We start from the raw sequence: 17,936 nt of genomic DNA, 5'->3' as shown, positions 1-17,936 counted from the left end.
CCAGCACTTTAGGTGGCCAAGGCAGGCGGATCGCTTGAGCTCACGAGTTAGAGACCAGACTGGGCAACATGGCAAAACCCCATCTCTACAAAACAAAAAAATTAGCCGGCCGTGGTGGTGCATGCCTGTAGTCCCAGCTACTAGGAAGGCTGAGGTGGGAGGATCGCTTGAGCCCGGGAGGCAGACGTTGCAGTTAGCCGAGATCGAGTCATTGCACTCCAGCCTGGGCCATAGAGCCCAGACCTTGCCTCAAAAAAAAAAAGTTCTCTCCCTACATCTCCAACCCTCACATTTCCACCGCCAAATAGATTACTGCATAGTTTCCCCAGCTTTACACTATTTATACTTGGGACCAATAATTACTTGAGGATGTGCTGTCCCGTATATGATGGTATATTTAGCAGCGTTCCCTCCCAAGTTGTGACAGTTAAAACTTCAGATGTTTTGAAGTGTCCCTTGGAGGCCAAAATCTACACCCAGTCCAGTTGAGAACCACTGGAGTACAGGATAAAGTTCATTGCCATTAACCTGGCTTTTCAGATCTTTCATTATCTATTCCCAATCTACCTTTCCTAAAATCTGACTCAGCCTAAGAGAACTACCAATGCAGGAATCCTTTCTTTGGCTTCCTTCGTAGATTTCTTTGCCTTCTTCCATAGATTATGATCTCTTACCGACTTTTCTTGGACGTTTTCAGGGATGAAAGAAATTTAAAATCTTTACTTTGAACGAAAGTCCTTGTCTCTCCAAAGTCTTCCTGCTTAAAATGTGCATTTGTTGAGTCCAGTTCACGCCCCAGGAGGTGTAAAAAAAAAGAAATTTAAATCCTTTTTCCATTTGTGAGCACCACTGAGAGTAAAAATTATAGTCGCATTTCTATTTTTCACCTTTTTCTATGTAATATGGTTTATAGATCATCATGAACTTTTTACTCTCCTCCGAACAATATCACGCCTGACAATGTCCTACTTAAAACGTAGTACCCAGAACTGAACACAGTATTCTGGATGTGCGTCACATGATGTTAGCACATAGCATATTGTACTGTTAGTTTCATGCTTATTCATCTTCCTTGACTCTGAGCTTGAAGGCAAGAACCAAGTCTTAGTCACTTAGGTTGTTTTATTCATCTTTGCACTACTAGCACAGTGGTTGGCCCTTTGTTCAATTGGTGTTCAAAAATGTTGATGGAATGTGGTACTTCCTTAACTCTAAGATAGCATTCCATTACCTTTAGGGGCAGATAGAGTACACTGTTACCTTATATTGACTTTGTGGTCAACCAAACCTATATGTTTTATCAGATCAGAGGTTGGCAAACTTTTTTGTAAAGGGCCAAATAGTAAATATTTCAGGTTTTATGGGCCTTATGGTCTTTCACAGTGACTCAGCTATGTCACTGTAACATATAATCAGCCATAGGCAATATATAAGTGAATGAGCATAGCCACTTTCCAATATAATTCATGGACGTTAAAATCTGAGTTTCATGTAATTTTTGTGTGTCACAGAATATTTTGATTTTTAAAAATATTTTAAAATGTTAAACGCATTTTTAGCTTGTGGGCCATACAAAAACAGATGGCAGGCTAGATATGGCTCACAGGCAGTAGTTTGCTAACCCCTGATTTAGACCAACCCTTGTATGATGGATTTTTTTCAAAACTGAGTATAGGTTTTTACTTTTATCCTTATTAAATATCTTACTCATTGCAAGTCGTCTTTCTAGCTTGCTCATTTCTTTTTGAATGCTAATTCTGTCACCTAGCATATCAGCTGACATCCCAGCTTTGTGTCTGCAAAATTGATAAGCATACTTTGTGCATCCTTAATTAATAAAAATGTTGAGTAGGATAAGGATAGAAGTCCTCCACAAGTTCATTTTCTTCCATTAATCATCATTCTTTGAGTATAGCCACTCAGAGTTAGAAATATCTACCTAGAGTACTAGCTATCACCCAATTCATATTTCTCTGTCGGGTCCACAGGGTATCTTGAGAAGCTTTGTCTGAAGCTTTGTTGAAATCTTTAGAACATGTTCCAGATGGGTAGGAATTCCATCAGACAAACCGAAATATATAGGTTTGGTATAGCTTGTAAACTAATGTTACTGCTACTTCCAATTTTAGTACTTCCTTGGTTACATTTTCAAGGTTACCATTTTAATAATGAAATTTAATAATTTTAGGATTTTGTCGAGAATTAGCATTCAAGTTTATCAATCTGTATTTACAGAATTCACCATCTTTCTCCTCTTAAAACTAAGGCTTGACAATGTTCATCCCACACTGACTGGTTCTCTGGTATCAATAGTGTCGAAAACTGTGGTAAGATTGGTAGAGAAAAAAGGCACAAAAAATTAAAATATATGTTTTTATTTCTTACCAATGTTACCACACTTTTAATACTATCAATACTAGTTTTTAAAATATAATAGAAAGTGAACTTTATGCTAATAAACAAAAACTAAGAAGAAATGCATTTTTATAAAATATTGATATTGGCCGGGCACAGTGGTGCATGCCTTTAATCCCAGCACTTTGAAAGGCTGAGGCAGGAGGATCACTTGAGGCCAGGAGTTTTAAGACTAGCCTGTGCAAGCCGGGCGCGGTGGCTCACACCTGTAATCCCAGCACTTTGGGAGGCTGAGGTGGGTGGATCACAAGGTCAGGAGTTTGAGACCAGCCAGGCCAACATGGTGAAACCCCGTCTCTACTAAAAATACAAAAATTAGCTGGGCGTGGTGGCTGTTGCCTGTAATCCCAGCTATTCAGGAGGCTGAGGCAGGAGAATTGCTTGAAACCGGAAGGCAGAGGTTGCAGTGAGCCAAGATCGCCCCATTGCACTCCAGCCTGGGCAACAAGACTGAGACTCCATCTCAAAAAAAAGATAGCCTGTGCAGCATAGCAAGACCCCATCTCTACAGAAAAAAAAAAATTTTTTTTTGGCCTCCCAAAGTTCTGGGATTACATGCATAAGCCACCACACCTGGCCTCTACAGAGAATTTTTTTAAAAATTAGCTGGGCATAGTGGCATACCTGTAGTCTCAGCTACTTGGGAGGCTAAGGTGGGAGGATCACTTGAGCCCTGGAGTTCAGGGCTGCAGTGAGCCATGATTGCTCCACTGCACTCCAGCCTTGGTGTCAGAGTGAGACCCTATTTCTAAAAAACTAAAACATAAAATAATGAAAATTTTTAAAAATTTTAAGAAAAGTAGGGAAATTTACCTTGCCAGACATTAAGACTTTATACCTTATTCTGTCATTTTGCTTTTAGTCTGTATCTTTATATTTAGAATGTATCTCTGGAAAACAGTATTTAGTTGTTTTTTTAATTTAATAATTGAATGTTTATTAACACTCAATGGAATAATTGATGTATTTTTGCTTAAATCTGTGTTCTTGCTATTTGTTTTCTATTTGTCCCATTTTTCTTTATTCTTTTGTTTCTCTTTTTCTGCCTTCTTTCAAATTAATCGAGTATTTTTATGGTATTCCATGTTGTTCTCCTCGGTTGACCTTCTTCCTGTACCTCTGTGTTTTTGTTTTTTTGTTTGGCTAGGGTAGTCAGGGACTTATTTTGTGAAGCAGAGTAGCAGAAATAGTCATGTCTTATAGATTATCCCTGGGAGAGGTTTCTTACCTAAACAAACATGTTAGAGTCCCTCCCACATGTTGAATAGCTTGGGTGTTAAACCATCTGCTAGGCAACAGCCTTTCCTTCTCACTTCGTTTTCTCAGATAAAGTTTAGAGAATCAAGAAGTTGCTTTTTTTGTTATTTTTTAATTTGCAGGTTAAACACTTTAAGATGAGAAAAATTGATCTCTGTCTGAGCTCTGAAGGGTCCGAAGTGATTTTAGCTACATCAAGTGATGAAAAACACCCACCTGAAAATATCATTGATGGGTAAGAGTTACTATACTTTGTTGTTTACAGTCTTAAATCGGTGAATCCCTTGAGTACTTGGACTGTGTTTTATAACAACTTGCCCTATTAAACATAGTTTAATAAATGTTTGGTGGATTACCTGATATCCACTTTTGGTACCATTTCTGAAACTAATTGAGTTGTGTATATTTAGGTTTTTGATCCTTTTCTTTATAATGCCTAAACTGAACTCTTGATACAAATAGGTTTTTTTAGAAGTGGTTTACCAAGGCAAAAACTCAAACAACTTCATTTTATGGAAGTGTAAATTTTAAGGTCTGGTTATGGTTTTACTCCGTTTTTCTTGGAATAAGAATGTAAATATTATAACTTCCTATTTACTACCTATTTCCTTACTGGTCTAAGTGATATCTTTGCAGAACTGAATGCTTCATTCCTTGCTATCGTGTATTGTTTTGCTTCTCCCCTTTTTGATATCCTTCCAATTTCTACTCTTCATTGTGCTAGAGCTTTTTCTAGCTAGATATTTTTCTAAATATTGTTCTTAGACTTCAGATTCCAAGAAAAAGCAGTTAATGGGAATGGGAGGACTCCTTTTTTTTTTTTTTTTTTGAGACAGAGTCTCACTCTGTCACCCAGGCCAGAGTCCAGTGGCACCATCTTGGCTCACTGCAACCTCCAACTCCCAGGTTCAAGTGATTCTCCTGCCTCAGCCTCTTGAGTAGCTGGGACTACAGGCGTGCACTACCACACCTGGCTAATTTTTGTATTTTTTAGTAGAGATGGGATTTCACCGTATTGGCCAAGCTGGTCTCAAACTCCTGACCTTGTGATCCGCGCACCTTAGCCTTCCAAAGTGCTGGGATTACAGGCGTAAGCTACTGAGCCCAGCCTGAGAACTCTTTTTTTTTTTTTTTTTTTTTTTTTTGAGACGGAGTTTCGCTCTTGTTGCCCAGGCTGGAGTGCAATGGCACGATCTCGGCTCACCAAAACCTCTGCCTCCCAGGTTCAAGCGATTCTCCTGCCTCAGCCTCCCGAGTAGCTGGGATTACAGGCATGCGCCACCACGCCTGGCTAATTTTGTATTTTTAGTAGAGACGGGGTTTCTCCATGTTGGTCAGGCTGGTTTCGAACTCCCGACCTCAGGTGATTCGCCCGCCTTGGCCTCTCAAAATGCTGAGATTACAGGCGTGAGCCCCCTGCCTGGTGGAGGACTCCTTTTTTAATAGTTCTGGCTTACTACTTTCTTGAACCCTCTTTCTTGGTATATGTACAATGAACAGAGTTTGACTCATAGAATCATCTAATTGTAGGACTGGCGGGACTTATGGGTTTATTTTGCCAAAACCCTTTATTTTAGACTTGTGGTAAGAGAGGTCTAAAGAGGTTAAGTACTACTTTTAATCATTGAAGGCAGAACTGGTTGTAACAGAGGTTTTATGATTCTTTGCATATCTTGAAGCCCATGTATCTGGATGAAATTCTAGCAACTCAGCCTCTTCCTTGAAGCGTAGTTGTCATCTTTATGGCAACTGACTTTTCTCCTCAGATTCGTTTATCTCTTTGCTGGGCTCCAATAACATTTGGTATATACCTCTGTTACCTTACTTTTTCCTTTATTGTAGTGTTTATTTTTAATGTTTGTTCCCTCTCTCAACTGTGAATTCCTGTAAGTCAGAGACTATTTCTATGAGTCAAACTTGACTAATACTGGAAAGTAATCAAAGTCTACACACATACACACATACATATAAACACATATATATGTATATATAACTGTACATTTGCATAGGGCTTTATAATTTCATAGATACTTTGTCAGTTGACCCTCACAGTAATCTTGGGGAATAAGAAGCACAAAAAAGTATTTTCAACCCCGTTGTAAAGATGAAGAAAAGAATGATCAGATGACTTGCTCAAAATAAAAATGACTTGCTCAAAATTACACAGATAAGCAAGAGGCAGAATCAACTGACACTCGTGTCTTCTAACTTGTACTTCAGGGATCTTTGTGCTACACTAGGTTAACTCAAATTTAGTTTGAATAAAAAATTCAATATCCACTTTTTGCCTGTGTCCCTTCTTTCTTCTTCTTAGTTGTTTACTTCCTGAAATTCAGGTAATAGTTACTATCCTACTCTGTCTTGGAGTAGAAAAATTAATGTGGCAACTGCTTTAAGGATACACAGAACTGAGGAGATTTGCCTTAAGTTGTTTGCCAGAAATAGAGGACTTTCCAGAAACACTCCTTGATTCTGATTGGAGATAGATTCGTTTTCTAAGGCAAGATCAATTTACCCTGCACTACTTTGGTGATCTTTCTCTCAAGCGAGTATGTTCATATGTTTATAGAACATTAAGATTAGCTATTATATATCACAGTTAATATTTTAGGCTCTGTCCATCTTGATGAATAAAGACATAATATTTTTTAGATTAGACAAAAACTGTTAGTACGGGAAAACATGGAATAATGTAATTACTGTCCTGATAACTGAACAGAATACATCGGGGACTTTTAATCCATATGCAGTTCCAGAAAATATAATTAGACTGTATATTGTAGACACTAAAAGTTAATTTCTGGCCAGGCGCGGTGGCTCATGTCTTAATCCCAGCATTTCGGGAGGCTGAGGCGGGCAGATCAGTTGAGGTCAGAAGTTCAAGACCAGCCTGGCCAACTTGGCAAAACTCTGTCTCTATTAAAAATACCAAAAAATTAGTCAGTTGTGGTGGCGTGCACCTATAGTCCCAGCTCCTCGGGAGGCTGAGGCACGAGAATCGCTTGAACCCAGGAGGTGGAAGTTCAGTGAGCTGAGATCATGCCACTGCACTCCAGCCTGGGTGACAGAGCGAGACTCTGTCTCAAAGAAAAACCAAAAGTTATTTTCTGTTCACAGTTGCTTTATCTAAATAGAGTAACCATAGGAGTATTTGGAGAAAACAGTGCTATAAATGTGTCCCTACAGGATAATGGAATATTGTTTTATGGCCCTGTTCCAAACTCTCCATTCCTTCAGAAATAAGAGTTAAATAAATAGCTGGGCATAGTGGCTGAGGCAGGAGGATAGCTTGAGGTCAGGAGTTTGAGACTAGCCTGGGCAACATAGCAAGACCGCATCTCTAAAAAAAGAAAATGATTATACTTCTACTTTTCCTCTGCCGTTTGTGTTTAATGTGTCAATGAAAAAGGGGAAAAGAAGTTCTACACTAGGAAAAAAAAAAGCAAAGTAAAAAAGAAGAGAGAAAATCAGTCCTTTTGGTGTAGTGTAGAAGAATACTATATTTAGAATTAAAATTCCTGGGTAAGTGAATTATGTGTTATCTTGGTCAAAGAGTACATATATTACTCTTTGAGCCTCAGTTACTGATCTGAAAAATGGGGATAATACCACCTTTCCTGCTGACCTCAGAATTGAGAAAAAAATCACATGAGATAATCCATGTAAAATAGGTGTTAGCTATAAATTCGTATTTAAAAGAAAACTACCACTTTGATGACTTCCTTATACATAATTACAAGATTTAGTTAGATGTCTTTTTTATTTTTTTTGAGACAAGGTCTCACTCTGTCACCCAGGCTGGAGTGCAGTGGCACAATCTCGGCTCACTGCAACCTCTGCCTCCTGGGTTCAAGCGATTCTCCTGCCTCAGCCTCCTGAGTAGCTGGGACTACAGGCATGCACCACCATGTCCGACTAATTTTTGTTTTTTTGAGATGGAATCTTGTTCTATTGCCTAGGCTGGAGTGCAGTGGCACGATTTCGGCTTACTGCAACCTCTGCCTCCCAGGTTCAAGTGATTCTTCTGCCTCAGCCTTCCGAGTAGCTGGGATTACAGATGCACGCCACCAGGCCTAGCTAATTTTTTGTATTTCTAGTAGAGACAGGGTTTCTTTTTTTTTTTTAAGAGACAGGGTTTCACCATATTGGCCAGGCTGGTTTCAAACTCCTGGCCTCATAATCAGCCCGCCTCAGCCTCCCAAAGTGCTGGGATTACAGGCATGAGCCACCGCGCCCGGCCTAGTTAGATGTCATTTTAAAATTCAGGTGATATTTTATGTTATTCTATTGGTTATGTTCATTGAAAGCATCCAAAGAAAAACATGAGGCAATTAAAATTAATGAATTTCAATAAGTAAAATTTAAAATAATATAAATATGAAAGGAGATTGTAAAATATTAAGCATTTTATAAAAACCCAGAATTTTGAGTTAGGAGAGCTGGCCTTGGCTGGGCAAGGTGGTTCACACCTATAATCCCAGCACTTTGGGAAGCCAAGGCAGGAGGATCACTTGAGCCCAGAAGTTTGTGCCACTGTACTCCAGCCTGAGTGAGAGAGCAAGACCCTGTCTCTTAAAAAAAAAAAAAAAGTAGTTCTGGCCTTTTTTTGGGGGTGGGTAACAACTTTATTGACATATTATTCACATACCATACAATTCGCCCATTTAGAATATACAATTCAGTGGCTTCCAGCCTATTCACAGAGTTACATAGCCATCTCCACAATCAATTTTAGAACGTTTTCATCATCCCAAAAAGAAACCCCACACAAGAAACCCCACACTTGTTATCAGTCACCCTGTATTTTCCCATCCATACTAGCCCTAGGCAAGCATTAATCTACTTTGTTTCTGTAGATTTTATCTATTGAGACATTTCATATAAATAGAACCATACACATGTGGTCTTTTGTGACTGGTTTCTTTTGAAACAGTGTCGGAGTGCAGTGGCGCAATCTTGTCTCACTGCAGTCTCTGCCTCCTGGGTTCAAGCGATTCTCCTGCCTCAGCCTCCCGAGTAGCTGGGATTAAGGCAGGCCCCACCACATCCGTCTAATTTTTGTATTTTTAGTATAGACGGAGTTTCACCATGTTGGCCAGGATGGTCTTGATCTCTTGACCTCATGATCCACCTGCATCAGCCTCCCAAAGTGCTGGGATTACAGGCGTAAGCCACAACCCCCAGCCGTGACTGGTTTCTTTCTTTCGTTTTTTGTTTTTTTGAGACAGAGTCTTGCTCTGTCATCCAAGCTGGAATGCAGTGGTGCAGTCTCAGCTCACTGCAACCTCTGCCTGCTGAGTTCAAGTGATTCTCATGTCCCAGCCTCCCAAGTAGCTATGACTACAGGTGTGCACCACTACACCTGGCTCATTTCTGTATTTTTAGTAGAGACAGGGTTTTACCATGTTGGCTGTGCTGGTCTTGAACTCCTGACCTCAAGCAACCTACCTGCCTTGGCCTCCCAGAGTGCTTGGATTACAGGCATGTGCTAACACACCTGGCCTGGTTTCTTTCACTTACATGTTCTCAGGGTTAATCCATGTTGTAGCACATATCAGTACTTCATTCTTATTTATTGTCAAGATTTCATTGTATGGATATAGCACATTTTATTTACGCATTCATCAGTTGATGGACATCTGGGTTGTTTCTACTTTTGAGCTGAATTTTTCCCAATTTTATTTTAAAATACCAACTTATAGACCCAAAAAACTCAGCAAGCCCCAAGCTAGATAAATACAGACATTGTATCTTAGTCAAACTGCTGAAAAAGGAAAAAAATATTTAAAATAGCTAGAAGGAAATAAAAACTATTATATACAGAGGAACAATAGTGCTAATGACAGCTGACTTTACATCACAAACAGTGGAAGCCAGACAACAATGGAGCAATATCTTTTAAATACTGGGGAAGGGAGAAACAAGCAAATATTTAAAAACCCTGTCAACCCAGAATTCTGTGTCTAGCTAAACTATCTTCCAAAAATGAAGATAGGATAAAGGCATTTTTCATCACAAGTAGACCTGCATCATAAGGAATGCTAAAGGAAATCCTGCAGGTTGAAGAGGTATAATATTAGATGGAAAATCAAACCTATAAGAAGAAATTAAGTGTACTGGAAATGATAAATATTTGGGTAAATATAAAAGACTGCCTTTTTTTCCTCTTTTAATTTTTTTGAAAGATAACTGACCACTTAATGAAAAAAACTGTATTATGGGATATATTATATATGTAAAATATATGACAACAATGGCACAAAAGTGATGTTCAGTGTAAATTGACTATCATGAGGTTTTTATGTTGTAACCTAGAGAGCAGCTATTTCAAAAATTTCTAATAAAGGAGGTATAGCTAAAAAAAAATAGAGGAATTAAATGGAATTTTAAAAAAATTATTCACTCAGAAACAGGAGAGAAGAAACAGGACAAGAATAGGAGGGAGAGACAAAAATGAATAGCAGGATGGTAGACTTATACCCAACCATATCAGTAGTTACACTAAATATCAGTGAGGCTAAACACTCCAGTTAAATATCAGATTGTCAGACTGGATAAAAATCCAAGACCCAAATATATATTGTCTAAAAGATATGCACTTTAAATATAAAGATATGAATAGTTGAAAATAAAAGGATGAAAGAAGATGCATCCTACAAACAGTTTACATAAGAAAGTCGCTGTAGTTATATTCATGTCAGACAAAAATATAAGACAAGGAGTATTACCAGAGACAAAGGGGACACGTTATAGTGTTAGAGAGTCCGTTCATTAGGAAGAGAGGATAGCTGGGTGCGGTGGCTCACGCCTGCAATCCCAGCACTTTGGGAGGCCGAGGCGGGCGGATCACGAGGTCAGGAGATCGAGACCATCCTGGCTAACATGGTGAAACCCCGTATCTACTAAAAATAAAAAAAATTAGCCAGGCGTGGTGGCGCATGCCTGTAGTCCCAGTTACTCGGGAGGCTGAGGCAGGAGAATGGCATGAACCCGGGAGGCGGAGCTTGCAGTGAGCCAAGATTGTGCACTGCGCTCCAGCCTGGGCGACAGAGTGAGACTCCGCCTCAAAAAAAAAAAAAAAAAAGAGAAAAAGGAAGAGAGGATAATCCTAAGTGTATATGGACCTAATAATAGTTCTTTAAACTACATAAAGCAAAATCTGACAGATGAAAGGGAGAAATAGACAAATTCACAGTTATAGTTAGAGATTTTAATACCCTTTTCTCAGTAATGATAGAACAATTTGGCAGAAAATCAATAAAGACATAGATGATCTGAATAATGTCATAACCTTGACTTTGTTGACGGTTATAGAACACTATAATCAACAACATGGAACAAGAATGTATTGATGGGTTGTGTATGGTGGCTCACGCCTGTAATCCCAGCACTTTGGGAGGCCATGGCAGGCGGATTGCCCGAGCTCAGGAGTGTGAGACCAGCCTGGACAACATGACAAAACCCCATCTCTACGAAAAAACACAAAAATTAGCCAGTCATGGTGGCGTGTACCTGTAGTCCCAGCTCCTTTTGGAGCTGAGGCATGAGGATGGCTTGAGCCCAGGACGTCAATGCTGCAGTGAGCCAAGATTGTGCCACTGCACTGCAGTCTGGGTGACAGAGCGAGACTCTGTCTCTTAAAACCCAGCATATTGAACATTCACTGAAATGTGCTGAAACATAAAATAAGTCTCAATATATTTCAAGATTAAAATCTTAGATAGTATGTTCTCTGACCACTGTGTAATTAAATTAGAAATAAACAACAAAAAGATATTCAGAAAACCCCCCAAAACTTAGAAATTAAACACTGCACTTCTAAATAACCCATGGGTCAAAAAAGAAATCAGAAGGGATCTTAGAAAATCTTTCTTTTTTTTTTTTTTGAGATGGAGTTTCCCTCTGTCATCCAGGCTGGAGTGCAGTGGTGCAATCTCAGCTCATGGCAACTTCTGCCTCCTGGGCCTCAGCCTCCCAAGTAGCTGAGACTACCGGCATGTGCCACCACACCTGGCTGATTTTTGTGTTTTTAGTAGAGACGGGGTTTCACCATGTTGGTCGGGCTGGTCTTGAACTGCTGACCTCAGGTGAGCACCCTCCTTAGCCTCCCAGAGTGCTGGGATTACAGGAGTGAGCCACCATGCCTGGCCTTAGAAAGTATTTCTAACAGAATGACGTTGAAAATGTAACATACCAAATTTGTAGGATGCAGCTAAAGCAGTGTCTCAAGGGAAAGTAATAGCATATATACTTATGTTAAAAAGGAAAAAAATGTAAAACCAATAATCTAAATTTTCACCTTAGGAAGCTAGAAAAAAATGAGCAAATTAAACCCAAAGTAAATAGAAGAAAATAAATAGTAAAGGTGAGAGCAGAAATCAACAAAATAGACAATTATTAGAAAAAATAATAAAGCCTAAAGTTGATTATTTGTAAGGATTAATAAAAGTTATAAACCTCTAACAAGATTAGCCAAGAAATAAAGAAAATGCAATTTATTAGAACCAGGAATGAAAGTAATATCACTACAGATTCTAAAGGAATCATATATAAAGAACAAATTTAAGCTAATACATTTGACAACTTAGATGAAATGGACAGATTTCTTGTAAAGCTCGACCTATAAAAATAACACAAGATCAATTGGAAATTCTGGACAGCCTCATATCTATTATGGAAATTAAATTCGGTCAAATATTTAGGGAAGAAATACCAGTCTTCCACAAACTTTCTCAAAAATAGAGAAGGAAACATTTCCCAAATTGTTTTATGAGAACAACATTATCCTGATAGCAAAGCCTGACAAAGACATGACAAGAAAGAAAATGGAGCGCAAAATAGTACAACCACTTTGGAAAGCTGACAGTTTCTTATAAAGTTAAATATACTTTTACCCTATGTCCCAGCAATTCCACTCTTAGTAATTACCCAGAGAAATGAAAACATGTTCACAAGCACTTGTACAAGAATACTTAGAGCAGCTTTGTTCCTAATAGTAAAAAGCTGCAAGCAATTAAAATACCCAACAAAAATATCAAACAAAATCACGAATGGAAACATTGTAGCATAGTTGGTGGTGATAGAAATCAGAGCACTGGTTGCCTAAGGGAGGTAGGGATTGTCTGGAAGGAAAGATAAGGGAAATTCTGGAGTCACGGAAATGTTCTGTATTTTCATTGGAGTATTGGTTACATAAGCGTATACATTTATCAAAACTCACTAAGTTATGCCCTTAAGGTAAATTCCACTGTAGGTAAATTTTACTTCCAAAAAAAGAAAAGCTTATATAGTTAAAATAGAAATGATTATTTCTGTAGTCAAAACCATAATATATACTATTTTGCCTATATATGACTTAAAATTGAGTGCATGTTTTAATTTTTGTTTGAACAAACATTTAGCATGTGTCTACTATGGGTGAGCCATTGTAGCAGTTGTAGGGTTACAAAGGTGAGTAAGAGAAAGAAACTGGACTCAGAGCTCAGCATCTAGTGGGAGCCATAGAAACACAGGAGATTAAGTGCCAATGTAGAGATGGAGGCTGAGTATGAGATAAGTGCAAAAGAGGGAGGAAGTGATTCTGATTTGGTGGGGTTAGATAAATGGGACCAGAAAGTGAATGAACTTATGCAAGGGGAAGAACGGTTTTTCAGGTAAAAAAAAAACCTCATGAATGAACTAAGGTACAGAAGCAAGAGCCTGCCTAACATATTTGCAGAATTTTAAGTGGCCCAGTGTGACCACAGTGATGGAAGAGACTATAACTTAATGGTGGAACCAGATCCTACAGTCTTAAATGCCATACGAAGGAGTTTAGAATTATAGGCAATAAAGGGACCACTGAGGCATTTAGATAGAAGTGACATCAATTCCGTTTCTGTGTTTTAGAAAAGAATACCTGGTAGTAGTAAAGAAGAATTATTAAAGTTGGAGAGAGATTAGAGGCAGAATTAACAGAAAGGAGATGTGAGAATCCAGTAGTCATTTAATTTTAAAAAACAGGTATTCAATAAAATTTTATGATTAACCATTTATATTTGGCTATTCTTATTTTTTCTTTAAAATTAACAATAGGAATCCAGAAACGTTTTGGACCACCACAGGAATGTTTCCCCAGGAATTCATTATTTGTTTCCACAAACATGTAAGGATTGAAAGGCTTGTAATCCAAAGTTACTTTGGTAAGCAAATCTTACATTAATTTTTTTTTTTTTTTTTTGGTGCTCCAGGTAAGGCTAATATTTTAGTTTTCATTATCCTTTCATTTTTTCCACAGGCAGAAGGCATATATGTAAACTTTTGGCAAAACACTAGTTTTTCTTTATAGCATGGAATCCAGTTTTATTGCTGGGGTGAAAGGATGGGGATTATGAGGTAAATGCCTTGAGCTCAGTTGGCCTCTCTCAAACTGCAAATTCGAAACCCTTCCAAAGCACATAATAATTTCCATGCAATTTACTATGTAAAAGTCTTTGGCAAAAGGCCCTATTAGGAACATAAGACTCCAGCTTGCTAGAACACTATTCCATGACATCTTTATTCTAGATTCATTTGTCCTGGAGTTATTTGTCAAATTCTTGTTGAAAATCTGATAACTCTGATTATTTACATTGGATAGTTGAGATTCTTCTATTACTAGTGGCATTTTCTCAGGAATTTAGGGGGATAATCTCCCTTGGGACATCATTCTAATCCTATTTATTTAAAGATAAAATGTATCAGACAAAATCATGGCGGGAAACAGAATACATCCCAGATGGTTCAAATGAAGAGGCTCTATTGATGGGGCTACTTGCAAAATTATGGCCTGGGTTAAGGGAACAAACAAGGCAAGGAATGATGAGGCCCTCAGAAACTAGCTATAGCAGGAAGCTGTAACTAGCCCTGGCACAGGGAAGGAAATAGTGTTATCAGAGATCTGTGAGAGCTGAAGCCTGTGTAAAAGGGCCTAATAGGAGCTGTAGGCAGGAGAAACTGTCAAAGATGTCACACTGAAGCAGGGAGGGAGTGGAGATAAAATTGGCTGATCTCCCTTCCCCACCCCAGTCTCCCCCTGGTGTCTCCCACTGGCCAAATCCAATCCAATCAGAAGCCAGTGGGTAAATGAATCCAGGTGATAGAGTCCACAGAGGTTAGCCCCTCATGGCACAGAACAGGACAAAGAAGAGGAGGAATGGATCTGGAGTGGTAGAGACTGGACTGGAGCAGTGGAGAAAAACCAGTTTAGAAGGAAGATGACTGTATTCCTGATAAGTCTCTTCTCTCATTAATCGTGGAGGTTCTAGAGTCATACCTAAAGTTTGAATTCCATTTCTGGCACTTATGAGCTGTATATCATTGAACACCTTGCTTGGCTCCTCTAAACCTGTTTTCTCACCAGTAAAGTGGGTTAAAGTACCTTTCTCATAAGATTGTAGTCAAAAGTGAATGGATAAATATGTTTGACTCATCATAGGCTCTCCATAAATGTTTATGACCAAGACCACCAATAGTAGTATTATCGCCATACACACAAAAAAATCGGAACAATGCCAAATTCAGAAAAGCTCTACTTGCTCTGTGTTGTATGGTTGCGAACATTTGGAAGATTAGTTACACAAGACTATATTTTACCATAGGGTTTTTTGGAAACATACAGAGTAACTTCCATGTTGTTTCTGATCCCAGTGCTCTGTGTAGTTCCACTGTGCATGATAATCTCAGGCAGAGGGAAAAAGAAATATAGGGACAAAAACATACAGCCAGATTAACACTTTACTTACTTTGTTTACAATGTTAGTACAGACCTTGAAGATTGAAAAAAGCACGTCTAAAGAGCCAGTTGATTTTGAGCAATGGATTGAAAAAGGTATGTGTTTCACCAGCATTGTTCTGAGCATGAAGGAGTAGATAATATTCCTTTGATTCTGCATTTCTCATCTAGCTGCACTTTGGTGAAAAAAGATGACTTTAATGATCCTTGTGACACATTTAGGGTCTAGAAAGACCCAGGTTTGAATACAAAGCTGCTTCTTCATTTACTGGTTATATAAGTATTAACATGTGACTTAATTTTTCTCAGTTTCAGAATCCTTATTAGGAAAATGGTGATGATATCTATCATTCAAGGTTTTGGTGAACTAGTGTCTGGCATATAATAGACAATAAATATTAGTTTCTCATCTTCTTTCCTTTTGTCCTGATTAAGGGTACTATTTAAATATCACCAGCAGAATTGATAGCCTCTACTTAATTAAACACAGCATCTTGCCTTCATATGTCTATTTTCCCTTTCAAAATACCATGAAAATAATATTAAAGGAATAAAAAGAGGCATAAACCTACAAGGACAAAAGATTTAACAACCAGCAAACTAAAGCAAATGTGAGAGATCAGTGTATATTATGATAAAGAGAAAGCAGATTGAAGAGTAGTAACTTCTTTAGCTGAATGAACTGTGTTATAACCTAAGGTCTTGACAAGGAGCATGTCAATAAGAAGCAAGCCACTTTGCCACACAAAACCCCAGAAAGGCCTAGAGCTCAAAGGCAACAGGTGCCATGGGAAGTATGAATGAGACCTGGGTCAGAAAACAAGGATGATTAGTTGAACATCTATTTACAGAGTAATCAGACTCTAGGTACCTTCTTCCGTCCTACAAAACTAGGTGACCACTCCTTTATCCCACAGACCTCCACCACAACCCTCAAGAGACAACTGCAAATATAGAATGTTGAGGCTCAGGAGACCAGATATAGTAGGGAGTGAGTGAGACATGGAGTTGAAAATACGATACTAGTGGAAGCCTACATATTGAATAGTGGGAACACCAGCCTCCTTCCTGTGTTCTGGTATTAACTTCAGCAGCCAAGAATATACCCTCAGCTGGGAGACTGGAACATTCATCTTTGGAGAAACTAAATGGCCCTAGAAAAAAGACCTATGGATACTGACAAAGGCCAGCTCATTTCTGGTCACCTTATTTAAGTCCAGTAATCAATAAGTGTGGCTCATGCACACAGTTTTCAAATGATGCACAGTTTTCAAATGATCCACAAGTAACAAAAGAAAGATCACAAGACATTAATGAAGACCTCAAACCCTGAATATAATCAAGCTTTTAGCTCTAATTTCCAATCTATAAGAAATGTAGAGGATAGAGGAACAAATTAAGTGAAACCACGAATAGACAAGATGATAAAATCTAGAATGTGGGGCCTGGGCACAGTGGCTCATGCCTGTAATCCCAACACTTTGGGAGGCTGAGGGAGGAGGATTGCATGAGTCCAGGAGTTCAAGACTGGCCTAGGAAACATGGCAAGATGTTGTCTCTACAAAAAAAAATTAAAAATTAGCCAGGGATGGTGACATGTGCCTGTAATCGTAGCTACTTGGGAGGCTGAGATGGAAGGACCACTTGAGCCCAGGAGGTTGAGACTGCAATGAGCTGTGATCATGCCACTGCACTCCAGCCTGGGTGACAGAGCAAGACCCCATCTCTTTAAAAAAAAAAAAAAATCTAGAATGTGGGACATTGTACAGGACAACTGACCTGGTCTCTTCAGTAAGTCAAAGACATTAAAAAATGTGTGTAGGGGAGAGAAAGCAGTTGAAGGTTAAAAGAGACTTAATTCTGATTTTAATAAACCAATTAAAAAAGACAGGGACAATTGGGGAAATTTGAATAGGAATTGGGTTTCATATTATATTAAACCACTATTTTTAATGTTATGATGGTGGTATTATGGTTATATAAAGAATTATTATTTAGAAATGGATAATTAAGTATTTAGGGGAAGCTAGGCTCACGCCCATAATCCCAGCATTTTAGGAGGCTGAGGTGGGCGGATCGTTTGATCTCAGGAATTCAAGAAACTACCCTGGGCAACATGGAGAAATCTTGTCTCTACAAAAAATATACATATATATTTGCTAGGTGTGGTGGCATGCACCTGTAGTCCCAGCTGCTTGGGAGGCTGAGGAAGGAGGATCACTTGAGCCTCAGAGGTGAAGGTTGCCATGAGCTGAGATTGTGCCAGTACACTCCAATCTAGGCGACAGAGTGAGACCCTGTCTCAAAAGAACAAAAAAGTATTTAGAGATGAAATGTCAATAATGTCTTACACTTGCACTTGCTTTAACTTTTTTTTTTTTTTTTTTTTTGAGACTGGAGTGCAGTGGCGCAATCTCGGCTCACTGCAACTTCCGCTTCCCAGGTTCAAGTGATTCTCCTGCCTCAGCCTCCTGAGTAGCTGGAATTACAGGCGTGCACCACGTTGCCTGGC

The 17,936-nt window shown here is 38.8% G+C and overlaps 1 protein-coding gene across 21 annotated transcripts in view; it reads left to right on the top strand.

The window, feature by feature from the left end:
* IFT25 (intraflagellar transport 25) overlaps window positions 1-17,936 on the top strand; it is a 34,730-nt gene that overhangs the window by 2,414 nt on the left and 14,380 nt on the right. For 6 of the 21 annotated variants that reach the window (XM_047422521.1, XM_047422520.1, XM_047422519.1 and 3 more), the window contains exons 2-4: window positions 3,795-3,907; window positions 13,747-13,853; window positions 15,452-15,520. In XM_047422521.1, the coding sequence (XP_047278477.1) occupies window positions 3,810-3,907; window positions 13,747-13,853; window positions 15,452-15,520 (274 nt within the window). In that variant the 5' untranslated portion in view covers window positions 3,795-3,809. Of the gene's footprint in view, window positions 1-3,794; window positions 3,908-13,746; window positions 13,854-13,948; window positions 14,047-15,451; window positions 15,521-17,936 lie in introns of all 21 variants that reach the window. The other 15 variants (NR_167992.1, NR_167994.1, NR_167991.1 and 12 more) reach the window with 10 other exon arrangements.

Source organism: Homo sapiens, chromosome 1, assembly GCF_000001405.40.
Source record: "Homo sapiens chromosome 1, GRCh38.p14 Primary Assembly".
Lineage (NCBI taxonomy): Eukaryota > Metazoa > Chordata > Mammalia > Primates > Hominidae > Homo > Homo sapiens.
Note: the sequence above shows the minus strand (reverse complement) of the source record. Positions and strands in the feature narration are given on the sequence as shown.